Genomic DNA, 23,340 nt, shown 5'->3' on the forward strand with positions numbered 1-23,340 from the left:
AAAATGCTAAAATGGGGGGAGAAGAGAGTTAATGCGTATAGGTTTTCTTTTTATGGTTTGTTGGTTTTGCTGTTTTGTGATCAAAGTTAAGCTGGTATCAGTTTTAAATACTTGTTGTAACTAGATTTTTTTTGTAAGCCTCATGGTAATCACAGTGCAAAGCCTACAATAGATACACAAAAATCAAAAGTAGCGAATTGAAACATACTACAAGAGAAAATCACTTAACTATAAAAAAAAAGACAGAAAAAAGAGAGGAGTTACACAGCAACTAATAAACAAGTAACAAAATGGCAGTAGTAGGACCTTACCAATCAATAATAACACTGAATGTAAGTGGGCTAAATTCTCCAATTAAAAGACACAGAGTGAGCTGGGCACAGTGATATGCACCTATAGTCCTGGCTGACTGGAAGGCTGAGAGGAGATAATAGCTTAGGCCCAGGAATAATAATAATAAAAAAAAGACATAGAGTGACTCAACAACATAAAAGTGTATACTGCATACAAGAAACTCACTTCACCTATAAAGGCTAACATAGACTGAAAGTGAGGGAATGGAAAAAGATATTCCATAAAAATGAAAACCAAAAAAGAGCAGGAGAAGCTGTACCTATATCAGACAGAATAGACTTTAAGTTGAAAATTATAAAAAGAGACAAAGGGGAGGCTGAGGCAGGAGAATAACTTGAACCTGGGAGGTAGAGGTTGCAGTGAGCCGAGATCATGACACTGCACTCCCGCCTGGGCGACAGTGAGACTGTCTCAAAAAAAAAAAAAAAAAAAAAAAGAAGACAAAGATGGTAATTATACAATGAAAAAAGAGTCAATTCAGCAAGAGGATCTAACAATAGTAAGTATATATGCACCCAACAATGGAGCACTCAAATATATAAAGCAAATATTAATAGATCTAAAGGGAGAGACAGACTTCAATACAGTAATAACAGAGGTCTTCAACCTCACTTTCAGGAATGGACAGATCTTCCAGGTAGAACATCAATAAAGAAAGATCAGAGTTAAACTACATACTAGACCATATGGACCTAATAGACATTTATAGAACATTTCACTTGCTGCTGCAGAATACACATTCTTTTCATCAGCACATAAAACATTCTCCAGGACAGACCATATGTTAGCCACAAAACAATTCTCAACAAATTTTAAAAAGTCAAAATCATGTGAAGTATTTATCTGACAACAGAATAAAAGTAGAGATCAGTAACAAGAGGAACTTTGGAAACTGCACAAATACAGATATTAAACGACATGCTACTGAACAACCAATGAGGCAAGGAAGCAACTAAAAATAAAATTTAAAAATTTCTTGAAAAAATAAAAATGGAAATACAACATACTAGAACAATGGGATGCAGCAAAAGGAGTGCTAAGAGGGAAGTCGGCCGGGTGCGGTGGCTCACGCCTGTAATCCCAGCACTTTGGGAGGCCGAGACAGGCAGATCACGAGGTCAAGAGATCGAGACCATCCTGGCCAACATTGTGAAACCCCGTCTCTACTAAAAATACAAAAATTAGCTGGGTGTGGTGGCGCATGCCTGTAGTCCCAGCTACTCAGGAGGCTGAGGCAGGAGAATCGCTTGAACCCAGGAGGCGGAAGTTGCAGTGAGCCGAGATCGCACCACTGCACTCCAGCCTGGTGACAGAGTGAGACTACGTCTCAAAAAAAAAGAAAAGAGGGAAGTCTATAGTAATAAACACCTCAATAAAAAGACTCCAAATAAACAATCTAACAATGCACCTCAAGAAACTAGAAAAGCAAGAACCAACCTAAAAATTAGTAAAAGAAGTAATAAAGATCAAGCAGAAATAAATGAAATTGAGAATAAAAAAATTACACAAGATCAACAAAAAAAGTTGTTTTTATTAAAAAAGATAAACAAAATCAACAAACCTTTAGTTAGACTAAGAAGCAAAGAGAAAAGACTCAAATAAATAAAATCAGAGACAAAAAAGAAAACATTACAATTGATACCATAGAAATACAAAGGATCATTAGAGACTATTATGAACAGCTTTATGCCAACAGCAGTAGAGAAACAGAAAACCTCAACAAACCAGTAATGGGTAACGAGATGGAAGCAGTCATAAAAAGTCTCCCATCACAGAAAAGCCCAGATCTGATGAATTTCCTGCTGAATTCTTTCAAACATTCAAAGAAGAACTAATATCAATTATACTCAAACTATTTCACAACATTGGAGAGGAGGGAATACTTCCAAACTCATTCTATGAGGCCAACATTACCCAGATACCAAAACCAGACACATACATAATAAAAACAACACATTAAACCATCAACAAGCTCACAGAGGTAGGATGCCCAAATCCTGGCCAAAATATAACATGTAAATGGGGGTGTGTGAAAGAGTATGCAGTTGGCCCTCTGTATCCATGCATTCCACATCTGTGGATTTAATCAACTGTGAGTCAAAAATATTCAGAAAAAAAAAGATGGACGGTTCCATCTATACTGAACATGTACAGGCTTTTTTCTTGTCATTATTCCCTCAACGGTACAGTTTTAACAATTTACACATTTACATTGCAGAAAGTATTATAAGTAACCTAGATATGATTTAAGGTATACAGGAGATGTGCATAGGTTACATGCAAATACCACACCATTTTAACTTTTTTGCTTTTTAGAGACAGGGTCTCACTCTATCACCTAGGCTGGAGTGCAGAGGTGCAATCAGCACATCCTTGATCTCCCTGATTCAAGGGATCCTCATGCCTCAGCCTCTTGAGTAGCTGGGAATACAGGGACATGCCACCATGCCTGGCTAATTTTTTATTACACCATTTTTTATCAGGACCTTCTGTATCCATGGTTTTGGTAATGGAGGGGGAGGTTCCTGGAACCAATCTTCCATGGGTGCTGAGGGACAACTGTGTATGCATGCATGTGTAGGGGATAGGTAATAACAAAGAAGAACAAGGAAGATGGGGTAACTTTCCTTGTTTTTTTCAGAAAGGGTAAAAATTTAGTGTTGTATTTCCTCCTTGGATGATTCTTTTGTTTTATATTTGTTATATTAGAGATTACATTATAATATATATTCAAAGTCTGAAAATGTTTGGTAACAATTCCACATTGCTTTATGGGAAGCTTATTTTGTTTTTAAGATATTTTTCATTGTAACATGACAGTTTTTTACTGATGATCCAATTCCACTGTAAATGCACGCATATAGATGGGTGCACACAGATTCTAAACTTATTTTAGGCCAACTATACGATATGCTTGTTAACATTTACAGAAAATTGGCCAGGCATGGTGGTTCTTGTCTGTAATCCAAAAGCTTTGAGCGGTCATGCGGGGAGGATTGCTTCAGGCCAGGAGTTTGAGACAAGCTGGGCAACATAGCGAGACCCCCATCTCCACAAAAGTAAAAAAAAAAATTGCCCAGTAGTCTCAGCTACTCAGGAGGCTGAGATGGGAGGATGGCTTGAGCCCAGGAGGTTGGGGCCACAGTGAGCGATGATCACACCACTATACTCCAGCCTGGGTGACAGAGCAAGACTCTCTCTCTCTCTCAAAGTAAAAGAAAAAAAAAATTACAGGGTATAAGAAAAATAAATAATATTACTTCTATTAAATATGGTGATTAAAATTTTCTTTGATCATTTTTAGAAAGTTTTCATGGACATTCTGTGATATCCTAAAAGACAATAGTTAAAAAAAAAAAGAAGACTGACACTTCTGGGTGACATTCACAAGGAAGAACAGCATCCAGCAACCAAAAAAACCTTACCAACAACAGCTGAGGGCTAAGACCAGCCGACTCCAAAGTGTGACACATATCCTCAGTGGAGCTTTCTCCATGCAAACACTTCCAAAAAAAGAAACTACCTGGTAGAAGAAAAACAAAGCACATTAATCAATGACTACTTACCATTTGGACTAACAATCTTATTGAATCACAATCTGGAATTCCAGAGAAACAAAACATTATGAAGGAAGAGAAATTAATTGTTCAATTTGCTTGATTTATTAAAGCAGAAAGCAAATCATGATCCAATATTGTCTCTTTAGTATACTCATTAATACAACCTGTTGACCAGAGTATCTTTTGTTGGCCAAAAAATACAGTACATTAAATCCTTTCATTATTTAAATTTCAAAACAAATGGAATCTCTGAGATGCTATATGTTCCTACCATGTTTTCTTCTAAAAGAAGAGGCATACAAAGACCAGTGTATTATTTTACCTACCTAAAGCCACATATTCCTCTTCACTTATTTTCTTTATGTTGAGCACATCCTTTTCATATTCTAAATATTCCAAGAATGTTTTTACAGGCAACACACCATCTTTATCATCAGAAAATCGAACATTTGTCCTGGTGTTCTCTTGCTTATATTTCTCTAGTAATGCCTGGAGCTTAAGCAGTTCTTTTTCATCAAGCCTTAGTAACAGAGCCAAGTCCTTTAAAACAGAAAACAAAACAAAACAACATTCCACATCTATCACCCACATTATCTGAACTGAAATTCAAGGCTGTAAGCAAAAGTCGACTTTTTAATTAATATAATACCTATCATGTATTCTGCTTAAAACTTTACTTACAAATCACGTTTCATGAGTAGGAAGTTATTTAAATAAAGTAAACTATAATTTTGAAACACTGCATGTTTGGTACCAAACCAAACATGGTACTAGAGGTAGGTACTAAAAGAAATGGTATTAAAAGTACCATTTTAGGATATTTCTTGAGGGTACTTTATTATCTTCTAGAATGTTAGCATTTTTTTTTTTTTTTTGAGACAGGGTCTCACTTTGTTACCCAGGCTAGAGTGCCTTGGCACAATCATGGTTCACTGCAGCCTTGACTTCTTGGGCTCAAGCAATCCTCCTGCCTCAGCCACCTGAGTAGCCGGGACCACAAGTGTGCACCACCACATCCAGCTAATTAAAAATTTTTTTTTTTGTAGAGGCAGGGTCCCACTATGTTGCCCAGGCTGCTCTCGAACTCCTGGGCTCAAGTGATCCTCGCACCTCAGCTTCCCAAAGTGTTAAGGTTACAGGTGCAAGCCACTATGCCTTGGCAAATGCTAGAATTTTAATAAACATGTATTACTGTATAATCAGAAAAAAATTTAAAAGGGTGTCAAACGCAACTCTTACTATTCTGAGGAAACTAAATATTGAACTTAAATGCTTAATTATAAAGCAGCGTAAACACTATAAAATAAAAACATAGAAAAATATTCTCATTGTATCTACATATAAGTCCTGTATGTGGCTCTCAGGGATACAACCTGCTAGGCTTTCAAACTATTTTTATATACTATATGTACAAAAACATATCATGGCTGGGCATAGTGGCTTATGCCTATAATCTCAGCACTTGTATAAATAATATAAATATAGCAGCAAAGCACAGAGAGCTAGCAGGGGGCTTGGTAAGGAAAATATACCTTTAAAGCTTTAAAAAAAATTCTTAATTTTCTACTTCTTTACTACTAATTTTAAAAAGTAAAACTAATCAAAGAGATTATTTTATATAATATAAAATGTGGGATTACTCACATTATCAGAGAATGGTGTGTCTAAATGAAAATCAAGGGAATTTAATTGACTGACAGACTCATAGAGTTGCAGCAGTTTTAGTTTATTGGCACAAAACTGTAGCAATCCTTCATCAACAGACTCAAGTTCTAAAAGGCAGAAGGAAAAGTATATATAAGAGATATATTTAACAGACTCATAAACAGGCTTTGCTTTCATTAAATCTCTCAATATTATGTAATTCCCTGATGCTCTGATGTATTAAATACTGAGATGCTTAAGCTATACCAGGTTTTGAAAGCAAAAATAATTTTTCTGTCATGACAAAATGTCTAACTTTTTAAATAAAATAAGATGCTCTAAAAGTAGGGAGATAAAAAAGGAAGCGGAAATATCTTCATCTAATACTTAAAATTTAAAGAAATTATCTGGAAATACCTTTGAAAATATTTTCCCTGACTACATAATTCATATACTGTATGAATATTTATATCTAATATAAAAGAAATATTTATTCTTTAAAAAGGGAGACACTGATAATCCCCTCAAAATCTTATTTGAAATACAGTATCATGGAATATTGTTCAAGTTCTTATAGCCATAATAAAACTGACCACACAAAATGATTAAAGTTTTTAGGAATCTTATGTTTATGTAGAACTTGAAACTGATGATTTTATGGAATTCCAACAATGGTGTTTGGTTTACTACCAGGCCAGTGGAAGATAACTTTTCATTTAATAAATTTTGGGATGTTGTGAATGCCTTGAGGGGTGGGAGGGCTTTGTAAGTATACCACGCTTTTTAAAAGAGGGATTTATTTCTGACAAGTGGTGTATGCTAAAGGAGTTCACTATTTGCCAATGTCAGTTTTATGTATCTGTTAAAAAAAAAAGGTTGAAAAAGAGTCTCAAAATTAGCATGTTTGAAGTCCTGAAAGAACAAATTATAATTTGTGTATTAAGCCACTTTAAGCTGTCTTACACACAACTAAAACACAAAGCTGGTTTTACATAATTAATATGACAAACAAAAGTCACAACTAGATGACATCAGTCCACTGCACACAATTTAACTGATGTTAGGAATTCAGAATAAAGTGAATTTTTACTAGTTCAGTTGGATGGAATATGGTGTTACAACCCCACAGTTTCAAGTTTCAAGTGTAATCCTTTTTCAGACAAATACATTTTGACGGACTGATGGATTTTAAAGAACAATGTGATAGTACAGACAAATTTTGAATATCAAAAAATGACCAGAAAATTCAGAAATAATAATCTGATTGTTGATTGTGATTCTGGAAGTCCTTAACTCTGTTCACGAGGGAAACTGATACACTGATAGAACATTAATACAAAGCTATATCAGAATAACCACTTATCATTCTATCCTGACATCTTTCCTCACAATTAAAAACAACTTCCCAATAACAGTCAATACATTCAAAGACAGCTTAGATGAAGATCAACTACATATATTAAATAGGGAATAAATAAGATTCTTAATTTCTTATATCTATATTACTTCCACATTAAAGTAACATGATGGTATCACAAAGTCAATAGCTTTCTATAATCAGAGTTACAAAATTTGAGTTAAGAACATAACCTCCAATCAGTACAAACCCTATTACCTTGACTTTTTAAAGTGTCCATTAAAGTCTGAGTGATGTTTCTAAGGCAAGAAAATGGTAAACGTTCACTTGCCAAAATGCTTTCCAAAGCCTAGGAGAAAGATATTGAACAGTTCTAGTAATTATAAGGCAGTGATTTTGTTTTTTAAATCTTATATTTATGCCCAAACTTTCACTACCCCAAATTTCAAAGGGAAGCTCTATATTTAAGATGTTTTAGTGTACATATATTAAATCTCAAGTTGCGTTGTTAAGTAATATACAATCAACTTCATGTCATGCCAAATATGACATAAATGACAAAAATCCAGGCTGAGAATAAAACAACTAGAAGGCAACTGCTACTTAACAGAATAGCCAAATCAAAACAGAAACAAAGATAAAGCTATTTACCAATAAGAAGAGTTTGAATATGCCTATACTATATAGGCATAAACGAAAAGCAGAGGTTATTGTCATGTCAATAACAAAAGCTGCCAAAAACTTAGTTATACCTTAATTATTGCATTTGTGCATGGCAGGCAGAATCTATAGGCCCTGCTAGATGAATACAGTACCCACCCTTCCCTACCTCCCTCTCCCCACCCCCATAGATATTTAAGATTCTTCATAACCAGTCCCAAAATATCTCTTCATGCCTAAAGTAGCAACTATCAGAAGTTAAAGGTCATATTTATCCTTTCATATTAGCACATTAAGTTGGGTTTTAATTAATGAGATTAAATAGTTCAAAAAGTAGGCTGAGAATGTGGGATAAGACAAATATCCGATCATAACACAATAACCTCTGCGTGTTTGTGGAGGAGAAATGGGCTTAGAGGGTGGCTCAAGATGTTGGTCAGGCCTATAATGAAGTAACTACCAGGAAACAATAAAGAAAGTGACTGTAAGAGGCCAGAACCCAGGACAAGCATAACCTGCTCCAGTTCTGCCTATGATTACCCAGGCTAGCAGCTAGCTTGTTTTCTTCCCCATTATTCAACAGTCTCCCAAAGCCTGAACTGGTTTCTTCCTTCCCTTTAGTCAGTCCTAGAAGACCTATAACTTTTGTTACTGGGTTTTCTAGCATTCTTTATAAAATTCACAGCTTCATACATGATTCAGAAGTACCATTAAAAAAAAGAAAATCAAGAAGACATTTTGCATTATGCTGGTTTCCCAATTTTGTTGTTCTATGATTTAGGATAAGAAGAAAGATGGCATAAAAATGAGAAGAACCGTGTGGGTTATGACCCTTTCTACTACAGATTTCTCAATATGCCTCTCTAGATGCCCACTTTGTCATCATCATGTCATCTCTAATAACAGAGACTTTACCCTGAGCAAAATGAGAGCCAATTAGCATTGTCAGTAGAATGGAAGACACAATTAAAAGTCACAAAGGCTTTTCTGTTCTACAATAACTCAATAAAGTGTTTTAAAAACGGACTGCAACAGAAATCACTATTCACTAAATTCTCCCATGTATCACTATTCACTGAATTCTCCCATGTATGTAGCTATAAAATAATAAGAAATATACATATTGGTCTATGGCCCCAGTACCTGACACAGAGTTCCTATAATTTCTTGAACAATGGGGGTGCTAGGAGTTTCTTTTGTTCTAGTGTTTGGTCTCTGTCCTAGTTCATCAGTCAGAGCTCTTAATCCCTTTGTAGACAGAGGTGCTAGGAGAACCTTTTGTTCTAACATTTGGTCTTTGACCCCCCATTTCTGATGGGGAGCTTCTAAGACCTCTGTAATTTCCTGGGTGATAGAAGCTTCTTTTTTTCTAATGAGGCCACTCATGGCAGGCTCCTGGAGAGCTTCAGAATAAGGGGGTGGTTACCAGTGGAACCAACCATGTATTTGAGGATTGAAACTTTTAGCCCAACCCCTGACCTCTGGGGAGCCAAGAGGAGCTGGAAGACTGAGTTGATCACCAATGGCCAATGATGTAATCAATCATGCTTATATAATGAAGCTTCCATCAACACCCAAAAGGACAAGGGTTGGAAGAGCTTCTGGATAGCTGAACGTGTAGAGGTTCCTGAATAGTGGCTTGCCAGGAGAGGGAATGGAAGCTCTGCAACCCTTCCCATATGATTTACTCTATGCACCTCTTCCACTTGGCTGTTGATCTCTACCCTCTGTAATATCCTTTATAATAAATGGGTAAACGTTCAAGTAAAACGTTTCCCTGAGTTCTGTGAGCTGGTCTAGCAAATTCATCAACCGCAAAGAGGGGGTCATAGTAACCCTAATTTATAGCTAGACAGTCAGAAATATAGCTGACAACCAACTACTTGTGACTGGTACCTGAAGTAGGTAGAAGTCTTGTGGGACTGAGCTCTTAACCTGTCGTGATGATCTCATGCTATCTCCAGGTAGATGGTGTCAGAATCGAACTGAATTAGAGAATAACCAGCTGGTGTTAGCTGGAGAATCTGCCAAAGAAATTGACTGGTGTGTGGGAAAAAAAAAAAAAACCCTACATCTAGTGGCAGAAGTGTCGAGTGACTGTGTAAGAGAAAAGAAAAAACCTGTGATACAGTTTTTTCTTACATTTTCACAGTAGCATTATTTTAGATGCTGTGAATTATAAAAATCAAGTATTTGGTAAGGTTCCTACTTGAAGGAGCTTAAAAGACCTAAAGAAAAAAAAGTCGGGGAAGCTATGATTAACATACATGAAATAATTAGAAAATAAGTAGTCATTAACTATCCAGTTTTGATTGAAAGTAGAGTAGGAGTTCAGAGTTATCCATGGGGATCGAAGCATTATGTAAGAATTTGTGGAGTTAGGACTTGAATAGCATTATGAGGGGTTTGGATAGGAGGAGTGGGAGTAAAAGAAATCACCAGTGGTGACCATATTATAACCACGAGCCTGGCAAAAAGTAAAGGTCTGGCAATACCATGGAATATTGAGGCTGTGGAGTAACAGGGACTCATACAGAACAGGTGGGAATATAAATTAGTACAACTATTTTGGGAAACAATTTGCCATCAACTAGTACAGTTGAAGAAGCTCACACCCTAGCAATTCCACTCTTAGGTATAAACGCCAGAGAGACTCTTGCATATGTGAATGAGGAAATATGTACATGGATAAGCATAGCATCATTTGTAATGTCAAAAATCTGGAAACAACCTAACCGTTCACTGACAGGAGTGTAAATAAATTCTAGTCAGTGAGCAGAATTTGTATGGCATAGTAAATGAATCAATTATAACTATAACTACATACACCAATATGAATGACACAGAAACATAATCCTGAAGGAAAAACTAAAGTCACAGAAGACATAGGGCATGACTGCATTTATATAAAGTTTGAAAAGGCAGGAAATGCATCAACAGGTTTCAAAGGAGCCACACAGGAATGACGTAACTATAAAGTAAAGAAAAAGAAAGAACCACAAAATTCTAAATTACAGTTACCTTAGGGATGGGAGAAGGGAATGGGACTGAGGGGGGACACTCAGGGCTCTTTAGAGTTCCTGGTAAGATTTTATTTCCTAAGGTAGGTGGTCATACACACATATTTACTATTTTATATATATAATATATATAATGTAGGGATGTGTAGGTATGTGTATATAAAACACACTCAGATGTATGGCAACCCAGGCTGGAGTACAATGGTGCAATCTCAGCTCACTGCAACCTCCGCCTCCCAGGTTCAAATGATTCTCCTGCCTCAGCTCCTGAGTAGCTGGGATTACAGGCGCCCGCCAATACTGACCCAACTAATTTTTTTGTATTTTTAGTAGAGACGGGGTTTCACCATGTTGGCCAGGCTGGTCTCGAACTACTGACCTCATGATCCCCCTGCCTCGGCCTCCCAAAGTGCTAGGATTACAGTTACAGGCATGAATATTAATTTTTTTTTTTTTTTTTAAAGAGACAACAGGAACTTCTATCTGAAAATAAAGAAAGGGATAAACAATAAAAATGTGAAAAGAAGACTTCAGCCTCTCATGTTTGGGGGAAATAGGAAAATAAAGATTTTCTTAAGAAGGATGTATTATAGCTACTAGCAGGAAAGTTCGTGTATTATATACACTTACTTGTTTTTTGGTTGCAGGGTATTTAATATCAAGAATTAATTCCTTTATTTCTGTTTCAACCAAATCTATAAAGAAAAAAATAATCAAAGTAAAATTTTAATTTTTATAACAGTGAAACATTATTCTGAAAGAAAATGAACATATCTGTACTATCAGTGAGTCTAAAGGATTTTTGGGTTCTCTCACATTAATGTTTTCTTGTTATGAATTATAACACCCTCTAGATGGCACACTTCAGCCTTACAGAGCAATTCCAATAAGCTCATCCATGCATTATTTTGATTGCTCCATTCAGAATATTTTATTGATTTAAAAGATGATAGAACAATATGCTTTATTATTTGTATGAGAGAATACCTACCAAGATTGGGAGATTTTGTTTTCAGTAAGGCTGCTAGTTTCTTCACTAGGTGCATATCCTTGGCTCGTTCACTCTTCTTATCACTAAACCAATAAATATAACAAATTATTACAGAATGTGAAATTATTTTCTTTCTAATTCTGACACACTCCAACTTTTTTTTCCTTTATATATTTCCTATTTAACTTTAAAGATATCAGTCTAAAGACAAAGGAAACAACAAAATAGCAACTACAAAAGAGAGTACAACAAACCTAGGAACTAGGAAAAGTTAGCAGAGGAGCGTCAATCAGCAACACTGGACACACCTTACCTCAGTGCTAAATGGAAGGGAACGTTCACTGTTTTCACACTTCCAGACACTGGATCAACCAGACAGATCTGATAAGTCTGTGGCTGCCAACTCTGACTGGTAACATTATTTAAACCCATTATTTTATAGCCAGGATACAGCAGCCTAAAGAAATCACATACCAATATGGTAAAAATATTAGAACAAGGAGAAATGCCAAAAGGTGCTTTTATTATAGCTAGGAAACCCAACATTATTATCAATTTAGGAGCATTAATAAGGCAACTAAATACTGATAGCAAGTACATAAGTAAAGCAGGGCTCAACCAGCAGAGTTCTGCCTTGTTGAAAGATTCTAAAAAATTAAATGAACACAATCAGGCCCCTGTTTCAATGGCAAACAAAGCATTCACCTCACTTATGACTAGGGCAAAAGGAACCTTTCCTTTTGAGCCTTCCCAGCATAAGTAAGGGACAAACATTAGCAACAAGCTAACTTTAATTCAGCAGTCTATCATGGCATTTTTAATTTTTTTTTTTTGTTATTAAATACTTAAGTACATGCCAGGCACTCACAGGAAAAACCACAATAAAGAATATTGTAATTCTCAAACTTGTAATCTAATAAGCAGCTTTAGTAAAGCTTTATTTTAATAAAAGCATTCCTATATTTCATTTTGTAACCAGCACAATGCCAGCATTTGCAGCTTACCTGCAGTGCTTCCCCACATTGAAAGCTCCTACTCTAGGTCCCTGCTGTGTGCTCCACACTTCTAAAATTCCCCTTCTTGGCGCATAGATCACAAGGAATTGAGCTACTCGACTTGGACCCTGAGAATTTCCAAAGGGGGAAAAATCTGCCTTTTCTGGCACTCTTTCATGGAGGTCCTCTACAGTTTGAATCCATCCAATTTGTGCGTCGCGGTACCCTTAGAGACAGAGGTAAAGGGAAGTTAATTACTTAATCTAGGTTCCATAGTAGCCTCCTGAAGTACTCTGGAATAGTGGGGGTGGGGGTGGGGGTGGGGTAAGAAAAGCTATAAAAGTATATTTTTTATTATGGAATATCTTAAATAAAAAATGATAATAAATAATAACCAGTCTATCACCCAGCCTTATCAAATCTTACTATTTTGCTATATTTACTTCTGACCACTTTTTCTCTTTAAAAAGAAAATATTGGCTGGGCACAGTGGGTCATGCCTGTAATTCCAGCACTTTGGGAAGCTGAGGCGGGTGGATCACCTGAGGTCAGGAGTTCGAGACCAGCCTGACCAACGTGGTAAGACCCTGTCTCTACTAAATACAAAAAATTAGCTAGGCATGGCGGCGCATGCCTGTAATCCCAGCTACTTGGGAGGCTGAGGCAGGAGAATCAGTTGAACCCAGGAGGTGGAGGTTGCAGTGAGCCCAGATCGCACCATTGAACTCCAGCCTGGGCAACAAGAGCGAAACTCTCTAAAAAAAAAAAAAAGAGAAAAGATTATAGATATAATTGAAGCCACCTGATTACCCCTCCTGCTCTCATTCCCTTCCCTTCCCACACAAGCCTTTTGGTGACATGCAGATAGAAAATATGGGTTACAGGACGATGGGAGGAAGCTCTTGCATGGGAGACGTAGCTGATGCTATTTTCCATTTTAGGGTGGTCCCTCACATAGGCAATTGATCCTTCTTTCCAAGGACACAATGGAAAGAAAAACTGGCTGTACTAGCTGCAGACAGGCAATGATGCAAGGAATAAGATTGCCATAGTGGATTTGGAGCAGTCAGTACAGCTTCGTCTTCGTATTTTAGAAAAGTCTTGCTGAGAACATACCTTTGATATTGTTTCAGAAGACAAACACCAAGGAGAAATGATGTATCTGCAGTATTAAAACTATTTCTACAGATACTGAGACATGTAGTAGGTAAAGACTGCCTCTGTCTATCACTGCAGGAGTTCTTTGGCAAGAAGGTGATAGTGGCTTCAATCTGGTCCAGAGTAATTGAATGACCTCAATCCATTCATTATTCCTCACATTTTACAGGATAGACAAGATTGCACCATAAATTGTGGTCTATGCTGACATGTTACTATTCCAGATGATTCTAAATAATGTAATCATCCCTTCTTTCTTAGTCAGGGAGATATTATTCACAATGTGCCTAGTTAAAAGATATTTTCAAGTCTCCCTTATAGTTAGATGAGGCCATGTCACTAAGTCCTGGCTAATGTAGATAATGGTTGAAGGGACTTCGGGGAATATCTTCAAAGTAGATTGACTCAGTTGCCAGGAGAAGCCTTCTTCCTTTCTGCTTCCTTCCCGGAATGCAGATAAGAGGGCTGTCTATGAGAACCTTGAGTGGGGAAGCTACAAGGAAGAAGACTGGGTTCCTGAAGATACTGTGGTCTGTTACTCAGGTCTGTTAATAATAGCTGAAGGAAACTCCTAAGTGACATACTTATTGACACACCAGGTGGATTGACCCAAGCATATGGATATAAAAGTCAAGTCAGTGAAGATGGGTTTTGCTATCTTAAATCTGAAAGACTTGGCATTATAGATTTGGGGAGAACATTTGGCTCAAGAATGGCTTTGTGAAGGGGAATAAATGTAGCAGGGGCAAGAAACTGAACTCAGAAATTGACAATAACAGTGAGAATTGAAAGAAAGTGCAAAAGGCAAAGGTTAAACATGGCTATGAGGTGATCAAACCTAAAAGATGTATCAACTGACTACTGGACCAAGTGGTTGCTGATCTGAGTTCATGTCAAAAAAAGAAAATGTAAACATGAAGAATTAAACAGAGTTATCATCCAGAAGCTGAAGGATGATAACATTGCTCAACTATTGGGGTAAAAAGTGAATTAATTGTTTTTCTGGATTTTTGTAAGAAGTACCTTTCCACATGCGTATTGCAATTCCTCTAGCTACATCCAATAAAATAACTCTGCCGAAATCATCTGTTACTGCTGCCAGTGTGTTACATGGAGACAGACATATGCTTTCACCATGGCGTCTAGAATCTGGAAGTCCAAATCTGATATTTAAAAGAAAATAAAATGCTCAAATCACATTCCAGTTCAGAAACATATAACAGAATAACGAAATGCATAAATGAAATAGGCTGAATCTGTTTTTATATAAAGAAATATGAATTTTACCTGGATTAATAGTTAATTTATTAATCACAACTGACATTTGTAATATAAAATACATAAAAGAAATAAAACCACAGTCCTATGTAGGTTTTCAATAGATACCCACAACCCTATACCTTTAGAGAATATAAAGTATAACTATATTTGATTAAAAGGCATGTCACAGAAAACAATGTCCTCACCATCAACTAAATTTTAGAATATGCTCCCACACAGGCATCTTTTGTCTATTTTAAATTCTTCTTCTTAATCTTTCTCTTTTTTGCAAGATATGACATCCTGCTGACACCAATCTGCCTGAAGCAAAAACCTTCCTTTTTCTAAATAGTTATCTCTAAACTTCTGTTGTTCTATAATCAACCTCATTAGAATTGTGAGTAAAATAAAAGTAAAGAAGTACTAAAAGAGAACTAGGAAAGCTCATTTAGAGAAAAGTCCCTGAAACAAAGGTGCCCAACCTTTGTTACATCTATTAGAGACGCACAGGGCCATGTGACTAATTTATTGACTCTTGATATTAGGAAATGTGATATGTTACAATGTATTTTTTAAAAAGATGAAAAAAAACTTAGAAGCTATACTTCGATAAATTTTAATAATTAGTTGGCTCTTCTTAGGTGAAGAACATCCATAAAGAGGAGGTGTTCTATTTCCCTTCATGGTGGTACTTTATATTAGGTAATAAAAAATGATTTTAAAACAAAACCAAACATTAGAAAACATGCTCCTATCTAAAAAATAATAATGAAAAAAAAAAGCAACAAAAATCATGCTCCCTCCACCAAAAAAAACTCACCAATATACTAACACATTCTAAAGCACTACTGAAGTAAACAAGGAAGCACAGGACAGGAGTCTGTTTAAAGAGTGCCTGAATACAGGACTCCTGCTTTTACTTTTTTTTTTTGAGATGGAGTTTTTCGCTCTTGTCCCCCACTCTGGAGTGCAACAGTGCAATATCGGCTCACTGCAACCTCTGCCTCCCGGGTTTGAGCAATTCTCCTGCCTCAGCCACCGGAGTAGCTGGGATTACAGGCACATGCCATCATGCCTGACTAATTTTTGTATTTTTAGTAGAGACAAGGTTTCACCATGTTGAGCAGGCTGGTGTCAAACTCCTGACCTCAAGTGATCCGCCTACCTAGGCCTCCCAAAGTGCTAGGATTACAGGCGTGAGCCACCGCAATCCACTAGGATGACTTTTTTAAAAAGAAATCACTAAGTACTTTTAAAGTTTATACAACTTAGTAACAAACTATCTAAACTTTTAAAAGAAATTTAACAGCTATCACTGAATTAATTCTCCTACAACTAAGCTAAGTTTATTTGTTAAAAAGCACACTCAAGAAATACATCTTGAATACCTAGTATATAACAGGGATAAAGCTGTGAACAAAACAGGTAAGAATCACTCTTCACATGGAGTTTTACATTCTAGTGGGAAAAGAAATTCCACTGTAATGGCTTTCAGAAGTTCCAAAGACAAGATCAGCAAATCAACCAAGCACACGGAAAGACCATACATTTAACAGTACCTTTCTAAAAGGACTAAAATTTGGGAAGCATGACAGACTTGCCTTACAGCTAATGGGGTAGCTGGCTCAACCTTCGGCTTTTGCTTTTGGACAGCTTCTTCTTCGTGCTTACTTTTCCAACCAAGCCAACCACTGAAAAGAAAGAAAACTTAGAATATAAAACTGAGCTTCCAGGGTTTTAAAGTGCAAACTATCAAAATATAAGTTAAAAGCAAGCTAGATACAAATGAGATATTTGTTATTTTAATTGTTAAGTAATTACCTGGCAGCATTAAATAAAGCAGAAGTGAGTTTACTTGCAACTGCTAGTGCAACATGGGATAATAATGGTTGTGTGCTTCCCTGAAAAACAGAACATTTGAAAGAGAAAACTTAGTAGCTTACAAAGAAACAAACATACTTTCTAAATAAAGCTTACTTTAAAATGCTTTGAAAAGTTGTAAAGGCTGGACTAGCAACTCAGCTTCTTTCAGAGTACAGTAAAAAGTTTATTTTAGGCGTAATATGAGAAAAAGTTTTAACTCTATAGTTTAAAAATAAAATCACAATTAGTCTATTTTACCATTAGAATTTCTCTCTTTAAATTGTAATTTCATTCAAATAAATTTTAAACTAGGACATTAAGATTACATTATTCTAGCTGGACTATGGATTTCACACCTACACATAACTGGCTCCTTTCTCTCTTTAAATATATATATATGCACACACATATACACACACACATTTTTATAAAAGTAAAAAGATATTTTGGACAATTCTGAGAAGCATGCTTTTTAAGTGAGAAACAAGAGCTGCCAAATCTAACACTCAACTTTCCACTATTTTAGGAAGCAATTTTCACCACTTATAACAAGTATAGTTGGCAGCTTGTTCTGTCTTTACAACTCCTCATTTACTCAAATCCCTAGTGGGCTGGCATCATTAACAAGCCTGAGCTCCTGACTATTGCACCAATATTTAAAGACATCTCAGCTATCAAAGAACTCAGGGCTTCAGAAACAAAGAATTTCCTTTTATACTGATGGTAGTACCTTTTCAGTTAATCTAAAGAATTTAGAAGAAAGCTAGTTGAGATTAATTTTAGTTTCAATTGAAATTTAGAAATGTAAACTGCTTAATCTTCTAAGGCTAAGCAAGTTACCATATCCAATTTGTAGACAAATTGTAAAATCAAGAGCAGCCTTACTCATGATCATTGATAAAACTCATACCTCTAAAGCATAGAAGAAGCCAGTAAATGGATTGGACCCTACAGTGATATACTGAGACATGGCAGGTGGACTATTTTTAATTGCTGCATTAAATCCACCTATATTGGAGGCAGTCTTCATTTGATCAAAGGGGGACAGAGTCATAATACCTAATAAAAAAAAAAAAGTGATTTGAATGTACAATGTTATTGCGGTCATTACATTTTTACTTCAGTTCCATTCTAAGATGCTAAATGTTTAGTTTTATTTAATAACCAAAAGTCATTTTAAAAGCTACAAAGTCAACATCAGAAAATATTCTGCCAGGCATGGTGGCTCACTCCTATAATCCCAGCACTCCGGAGGCCAAGGCAGTTGGATCACTTGAGGTCAAGAGTTTGAAATCAGCCTGGCCAACATGGTGAAACCCCGCCTCTACTAAATATACAAAAATTAGCCATGCATGGTGGTGGGTGCCTGTAATCTTAGCTACTTGGGAGGCTGGGGCAGGAGAATTGCTTGAACCTGGGAGGTGGAGGTTGCAGTAAGCTGAGGTCACACCAACTGCACTCCAGCCTGGGCAACAGGGCGAGACCCCATCTCAAAAAAATAATAATAATAAATATTAAAATTTCCATCTATAATTTCCATAATCTATAGAATATCATAAAAACAAAATTTAATTTTTTGAACAGATATGAAACTCAGAGGTACCAGAAGTATACAGTCCACTTATATCCCCAAATACCAATTCACTTCTTTTTTTTTTAGTTTTTGAGATGGCGTCTCACCCTGTCGCCCAGGCTGGAGTGCAATGGTGCAATCTCAGCTCACTGCAACCTCTGCCTCCCAGGTTCAAGCGATTCTCTTGCCTCAGCCTCCCCGAATGGCTGGGATTACAGACGCGCACCACCATGCCCAGCTAATTTTTGTATTTTTAGTAGAGACGAAGTTTTGCCATGTTGGCCAGGCTGGTCTCAAACTCCTGACCTCAGGTGATCCTCCAGCCTCAGCCTCCCAAAGTGTTGGGATTACCGGTGTGAGCCACTGTGCCCAGCCAATATAGGCGTGTGCTGCTGTGCCTGACCTTACTAAATTTCATATACATATATTTCAGGCCTCCCCTTTGCCTGAAAACTGTCAAAAAATGCATTCGTCCTTAAGACGTGTCCTAGGAAAGGAAATTCTTTGAGTGAGTTCATACGCAAGCCATTCACTGGCTTTATAGGAATTAAAGTGATCAAACAAATCCTTGGACTATTTTTTAAACTCCCCTCCCACCTCCTAGACCATTATAAAAGATCAGAACACCTATCTCATAGTCATGAATGAATCCATGATTCAGTATACAAAATGTTTTCACTACATTACAAAATTTGCTTAAGTTTTGCCTGACTCCACCAAAACACGATCAAAGGGCAAACTATATGGCACATAAATTGAAATTTAAGTTTTAAAACAGCTTCTTTTTAAACTCCCATGCAATATACATGGGAGTATAAATTACTACACAGTAATCCAGAGGACAATTTTGCAATAGATATGCAATTTTTTTAAAGGATTCTAATTTATTGTAAGGAAATGGCTGATCAATCCTTTCCATCCTTGCTACCAATGATGTTTTCCTTCCTATAACTTAAATCATCTATTTTCAATGTCACACTTTAGATCCTGTCATCAGCAACTGTAGATTCTTTGTATTTTTGATTTCAAGCTTACCACACTTAGACCACCACCTCCTAGCTTTCCATCTCAATTACTCCAGAAACTCCCTGCAGTAATTTCACAATTTCGAGTTTAAACTAATTAATCCTACTATTTTTTCCACTATTTATCAAGTACCTCTTGGGATCACTTCCCTTTCCATCCAGCTTAGCTTTGTGTTCCATCATCATCACTTTCTTGCAAATATCCACAACCTCCCTACACTCGTTTCCCCCTACACACATACTCCTCTGGCTAAATCTTAATCTTGGTTGACCTAAACTTTCTGCATTCTCTGCTCTTGAAGCAAAATAGCTGATCATTGCTAAGAAAAACAATACCTCTGGGTTTCAAAGTAAGAACCACAAACAAATGGACATAAAGCTTGGTCCAAAATCCTTCTGACCTCCTCAACCCTTCCTTCCCATCCTCGATCCTTTGAAATCTATTTGTTGAAGCAACAAGGCTGTTTGAGACTAATTTCCCACAGTCTACAGCTGACCACATTCCTATAGTATTATTTAAAGTGTTTTTCTGCCCTTTATATTGCTACACATTGGTACTGAATTTAGGGGGCTTTTATCTTTCGAGTCACTGATTTTAGCACTATTTTTCATTAACTTAAGGTGGTATGGCTTATTTACATCTCTCTTTCTCGCCCTATATCCTTCCAAAATATTTGTATCTCAACGTTTTATTAAATTCACTGTTTTTATTATTAGGAATGATATAAGCATTACTCACTGCTGAGACATGCTACTTACTGTAATTACATTTCCTTGGCTGTGCATTCTTTTTTTTCTGGAGTTATTATTACCTTGTCATTTAGAATTTTCCCTGAGCGTCTGAGGCCTTCCCACACTTTGAAAGACATCAAAGTCCCTCTCAATATAAGTTTCCATAAAGTCAAACTCATTGGATAATTTTCTAGGCCTAGTAGAGTGACTAATGAAGGCCTCTTTGACAATGTGATATATAAGGAGACCTGAGTGAAGAGAGGGAGAAAGCCATGTGACTAGCTAAAGTTTTCCAGGCAGAGGGAGCAGTAATTCTAAATGCTCTAGAGTAGGAATATGCTTGCTGTGTCTGAGGAACACAAAGGAGATCTACATGATGAAACACAATGAACAGGGAGGGGAACCCTACAGGAGACAGTGTCAGAGGTACCATAAGCCAGATAAAGTTGGGCCTTGTATGTCACGGTAAGGAGCAACCAGAAGAAGAAAGATGATGTAGAAAAAAAAAGGAGGAGCAAGTTTGACAGGAGGAAATTACTCGATTTTGGATATGTTAAGTTTGACATCTAGGTAGAAATTATTCAGTAGGGAGCTGGAGAAATGAGTATGAGGCTTCAGCAAGAGGTCAGGACTCCATAAAAATGGAGATACTGGGAATCTATTTCTTATGCTCCTTGTTTGTGATTTTAGACAGCAGGGGGTGAAAATATTTATTCTTAAGACTATATTAATTTGGCTTTCATCCTCACCATTCTACTGTAACTTTCATATCAAAAGTCAGTAAGTAAATAACTCCATGTTGTCAAATCCAATGGACCTTCTTCTTTTCTTGAACTCTACGAAACATTCCACAGTAAACCACTCCCTCTCAAATTTATATGTACATTCCCAGCTTCCTCCCTGAACTTCTGACTCTCATGTCCAATTCGTATACTTGATACCTCTACTTGAATGTTTAACTGTGTCAGAAGTTAACCTGTAAAAACGTAACTCTTTATTTGACTACCTTAAATCTCTTCCTCTCCTCCTCCTTATTCTCATTTCAGTAAACAGTCTCATCATCCAGCCCGTTGCTCAAACTTAAAAATTAAGAAACCCTTAATTCTTTCCTTCCTCTTGTTTCTCAAAACCATCCCTGAGCAAGTACAAAAGGTATCTCAAATCTGTCTACTTCCTTCCAACTCCACTGCCTCCACCATAAAGCCATCATTCTCTCTTGGGTGAATTATTGCAATAACTGGTCTCCTTGCTTTCTTCTACAAGCATCTCTCTACCCAGCAAACAGGGAGATATGTTTAAATGTAATCCCCTACTTAGAATCCATCAGTGACATCCACTGCATTTAGAATAAAATCGGATCTCCTTATCCCTACGTGATCTAACCCCAGTCTGCATCTCCAACCTAACCTTGTCCTGTTTTCCCCTCACTCTTTACAGTCAAGTCACACCAACCCCCTTTCTGTTTCTTGAACACTCTGAGGTCTTCAAGGCTCCCAGGCCTATATCCCTGATGCTCCTCTACCTAGAATGCTCTTCCTACACCTCTTTCCATAGCTGGCTCCTTCTCATCCTTCAAGTCTCAGTCTGAATGTCATGTCCTTGGAGAGGCCTTTCCTCACTAGTCTACCTAAAGCACCCTCTTCCTTTACTCTCTACCATAACCTACTTATTTTCTTCATGATGCCCACTAAGAGTTTGATATTCATTTAGTTTATTGTTTGTCTCCCCATCACCAAAACGTAAGCTTTATCAGGGTGGGGTCCTATCTTGTATTTCTAGCACAAATATTAATAGGTACTCATTTATTTGTTGAATAAATTAACCAGACCTCTACATAAAGATGTACATACAATAACGTTTATTGTACCTTTTTTCATTTTGTAGGCTGGGGATAAATGAATAGAATAATAGTTTCTATCCAATCATTTTCCCTAGCCAGTTTCAATGTTCCAAAGTTTAATTAACAGAGCAGGGAAGCTACCCTGAACTGAACTTAACACTTTGGAATTTTGCAGCATTTTTATGCTAGCAAAAAAGTAGACACACTGAAATGTTTACCAATAGGTTTTTATTACAGAGTATTCCATGTAAGAGCTATGCAGTAAATAGAAAGATGGCCTGTGTGTCAGATATCCTTAGCCTCTTTAGAGTCACTCTCCTTCCTCTTCTCCTTGCTCTTTCTCTCCCAGTGTCCAGTTTGCATAGAATGAGTAGAACTTGACCAAGTGAACAAACACAGAGGAGGCATTCTAGCCCACATGCACATAGATCTAGGGATAAAAGTGTATGGTGTGCTGGAGAAACAATAAGTGTGTCCTCCTCTGCTCCCACTACAGCTGGTCCCCTTGTCTGTTACAATTACTATGTTGTAGTATTGTAGCCATTCTCATGTGTTTCTTCTAACCAGGCTCCTAGACTCACACTTTCAGACAACAGAGAAGCATGTCTTTACATCTCTATACCCTCAGTACCTAACACAGTAAGCTCTCTTATAGTGGCTGCAAGAAGAAATCTGCTTTTATCTATATTTTACTAGTTTAAAGGTTACTTTTTTTTTTAAGCGATGGGGTCTCGCTATATTGCCCAGGTTGGTCTTGAACTCTTGGGCTCAAGAGATCCTCCTACCTCAGCCTTCTGAGTAGCTGAGATTACAGGTGCAAGCCACCACACTTGACCAAGGTTACATTTTTAAGACTGATTTATATGGTCATTATATAGACCAAATTTGTCTGTAGAAAAATTAGTCAAACAGTGAGTGACTTAAAACTGTACAATACTGTGGCTGAGGGCATAATTAAATCTTTATTAAAACTGCTACCATTTCTTTTTGTTTTTGTTTTGCTTTCTTGAGACAGAGTCTCGCTCTGTCACCCAGGCTGGAGTGCAGTGGCGTGATCTTGGCTCACTGCAACCTCCACCTCCCGGGTTCAGGCAATTCTCCTGCCTCAGCCTCCTAAGTAGCTGGGAATACAGGTGTGCACCACCACACCTGGCTAATTTTTGTATTTTTAGTAGAGACGGGGTTTCACTATGTGGGTCGGGCTAATCTTGAACTTCTGGCCTCATGTGATCCACCCACCTCGGCCTCCCAAAGTGCTGGGATTACAGGTGTTAGCCATCATGCCCAGTTTTAAAGATATATGCCTAT

At 37.0% G+C, this 23,340-nt stretch overlaps 1 protein-coding gene and 2 non-coding genes across 3 annotated transcripts in view; all 3 read right to left on the reverse strand.

Annotated features, from left to right (window-relative positions):
* The window catches only part of RAB3GAP2 (RAB3 GTPase activating non-catalytic protein subunit 2), a 124,161-nt gene that overhangs the window by 30,185 nt on the left and 70,636 nt on the right, over positions 1-23,340 (reverse strand). Inside the window, exons 10-21 of the mRNA NM_012414.4 lie at positions 17,773-17,921; positions 16,821-16,900; positions 16,601-16,690; positions 14,763-14,902; positions 12,591-12,807; positions 11,900-12,043; positions 11,587-11,669; positions 11,226-11,290; positions 7,174-7,264; positions 5,559-5,686; positions 4,241-4,454; positions 3,780-3,877 (exon numbers count right to left, since the gene is read on the reverse strand). Of these exons, the coding sequence (NP_036546.2) occupies positions 3,780-3,877; positions 4,241-4,454; positions 5,559-5,686; positions 7,174-7,264; positions 11,226-11,290; positions 11,587-11,669; positions 11,900-12,043; positions 12,591-12,807; positions 14,763-14,902; positions 16,601-16,690; positions 16,821-16,900; positions 17,773-17,921 (1,499 nt within the window). The remainder of the gene's footprint in view (positions 1-3,779; positions 3,878-4,240; positions 4,455-5,558; positions 5,687-7,173; positions 7,265-11,225; positions 11,291-11,586; positions 11,670-11,899; positions 12,044-12,590; positions 12,808-14,762; positions 14,903-16,600; positions 16,691-16,820; positions 16,901-17,772; positions 17,922-23,340) is intronic.
* On the reverse strand, positions 22,061-22,142 carry MIR664A (microRNA 664a). Its single transcript, NR_031705.1, has one exon. It is a non-coding gene; the product is annotated as a microRNA 664a (primary transcript).
* SNORA36B (small nucleolar RNA, H/ACA box 36B) lies at positions 22,069-22,199 on the reverse strand. Its single transcript, NR_002994.2, has one exon. It is a non-coding gene; the product is annotated as a small nucleolar RNA, H/ACA box 36B (small nucleolar RNA).

This window comes from Homo sapiens, chromosome 1, assembly GCF_000001405.40.
Source record: "Homo sapiens chromosome 1, GRCh38.p14 Primary Assembly".
NCBI classification, from domain to species: Eukaryota; Metazoa; Chordata; class Mammalia; order Primates; family Hominidae; genus Homo; species Homo sapiens.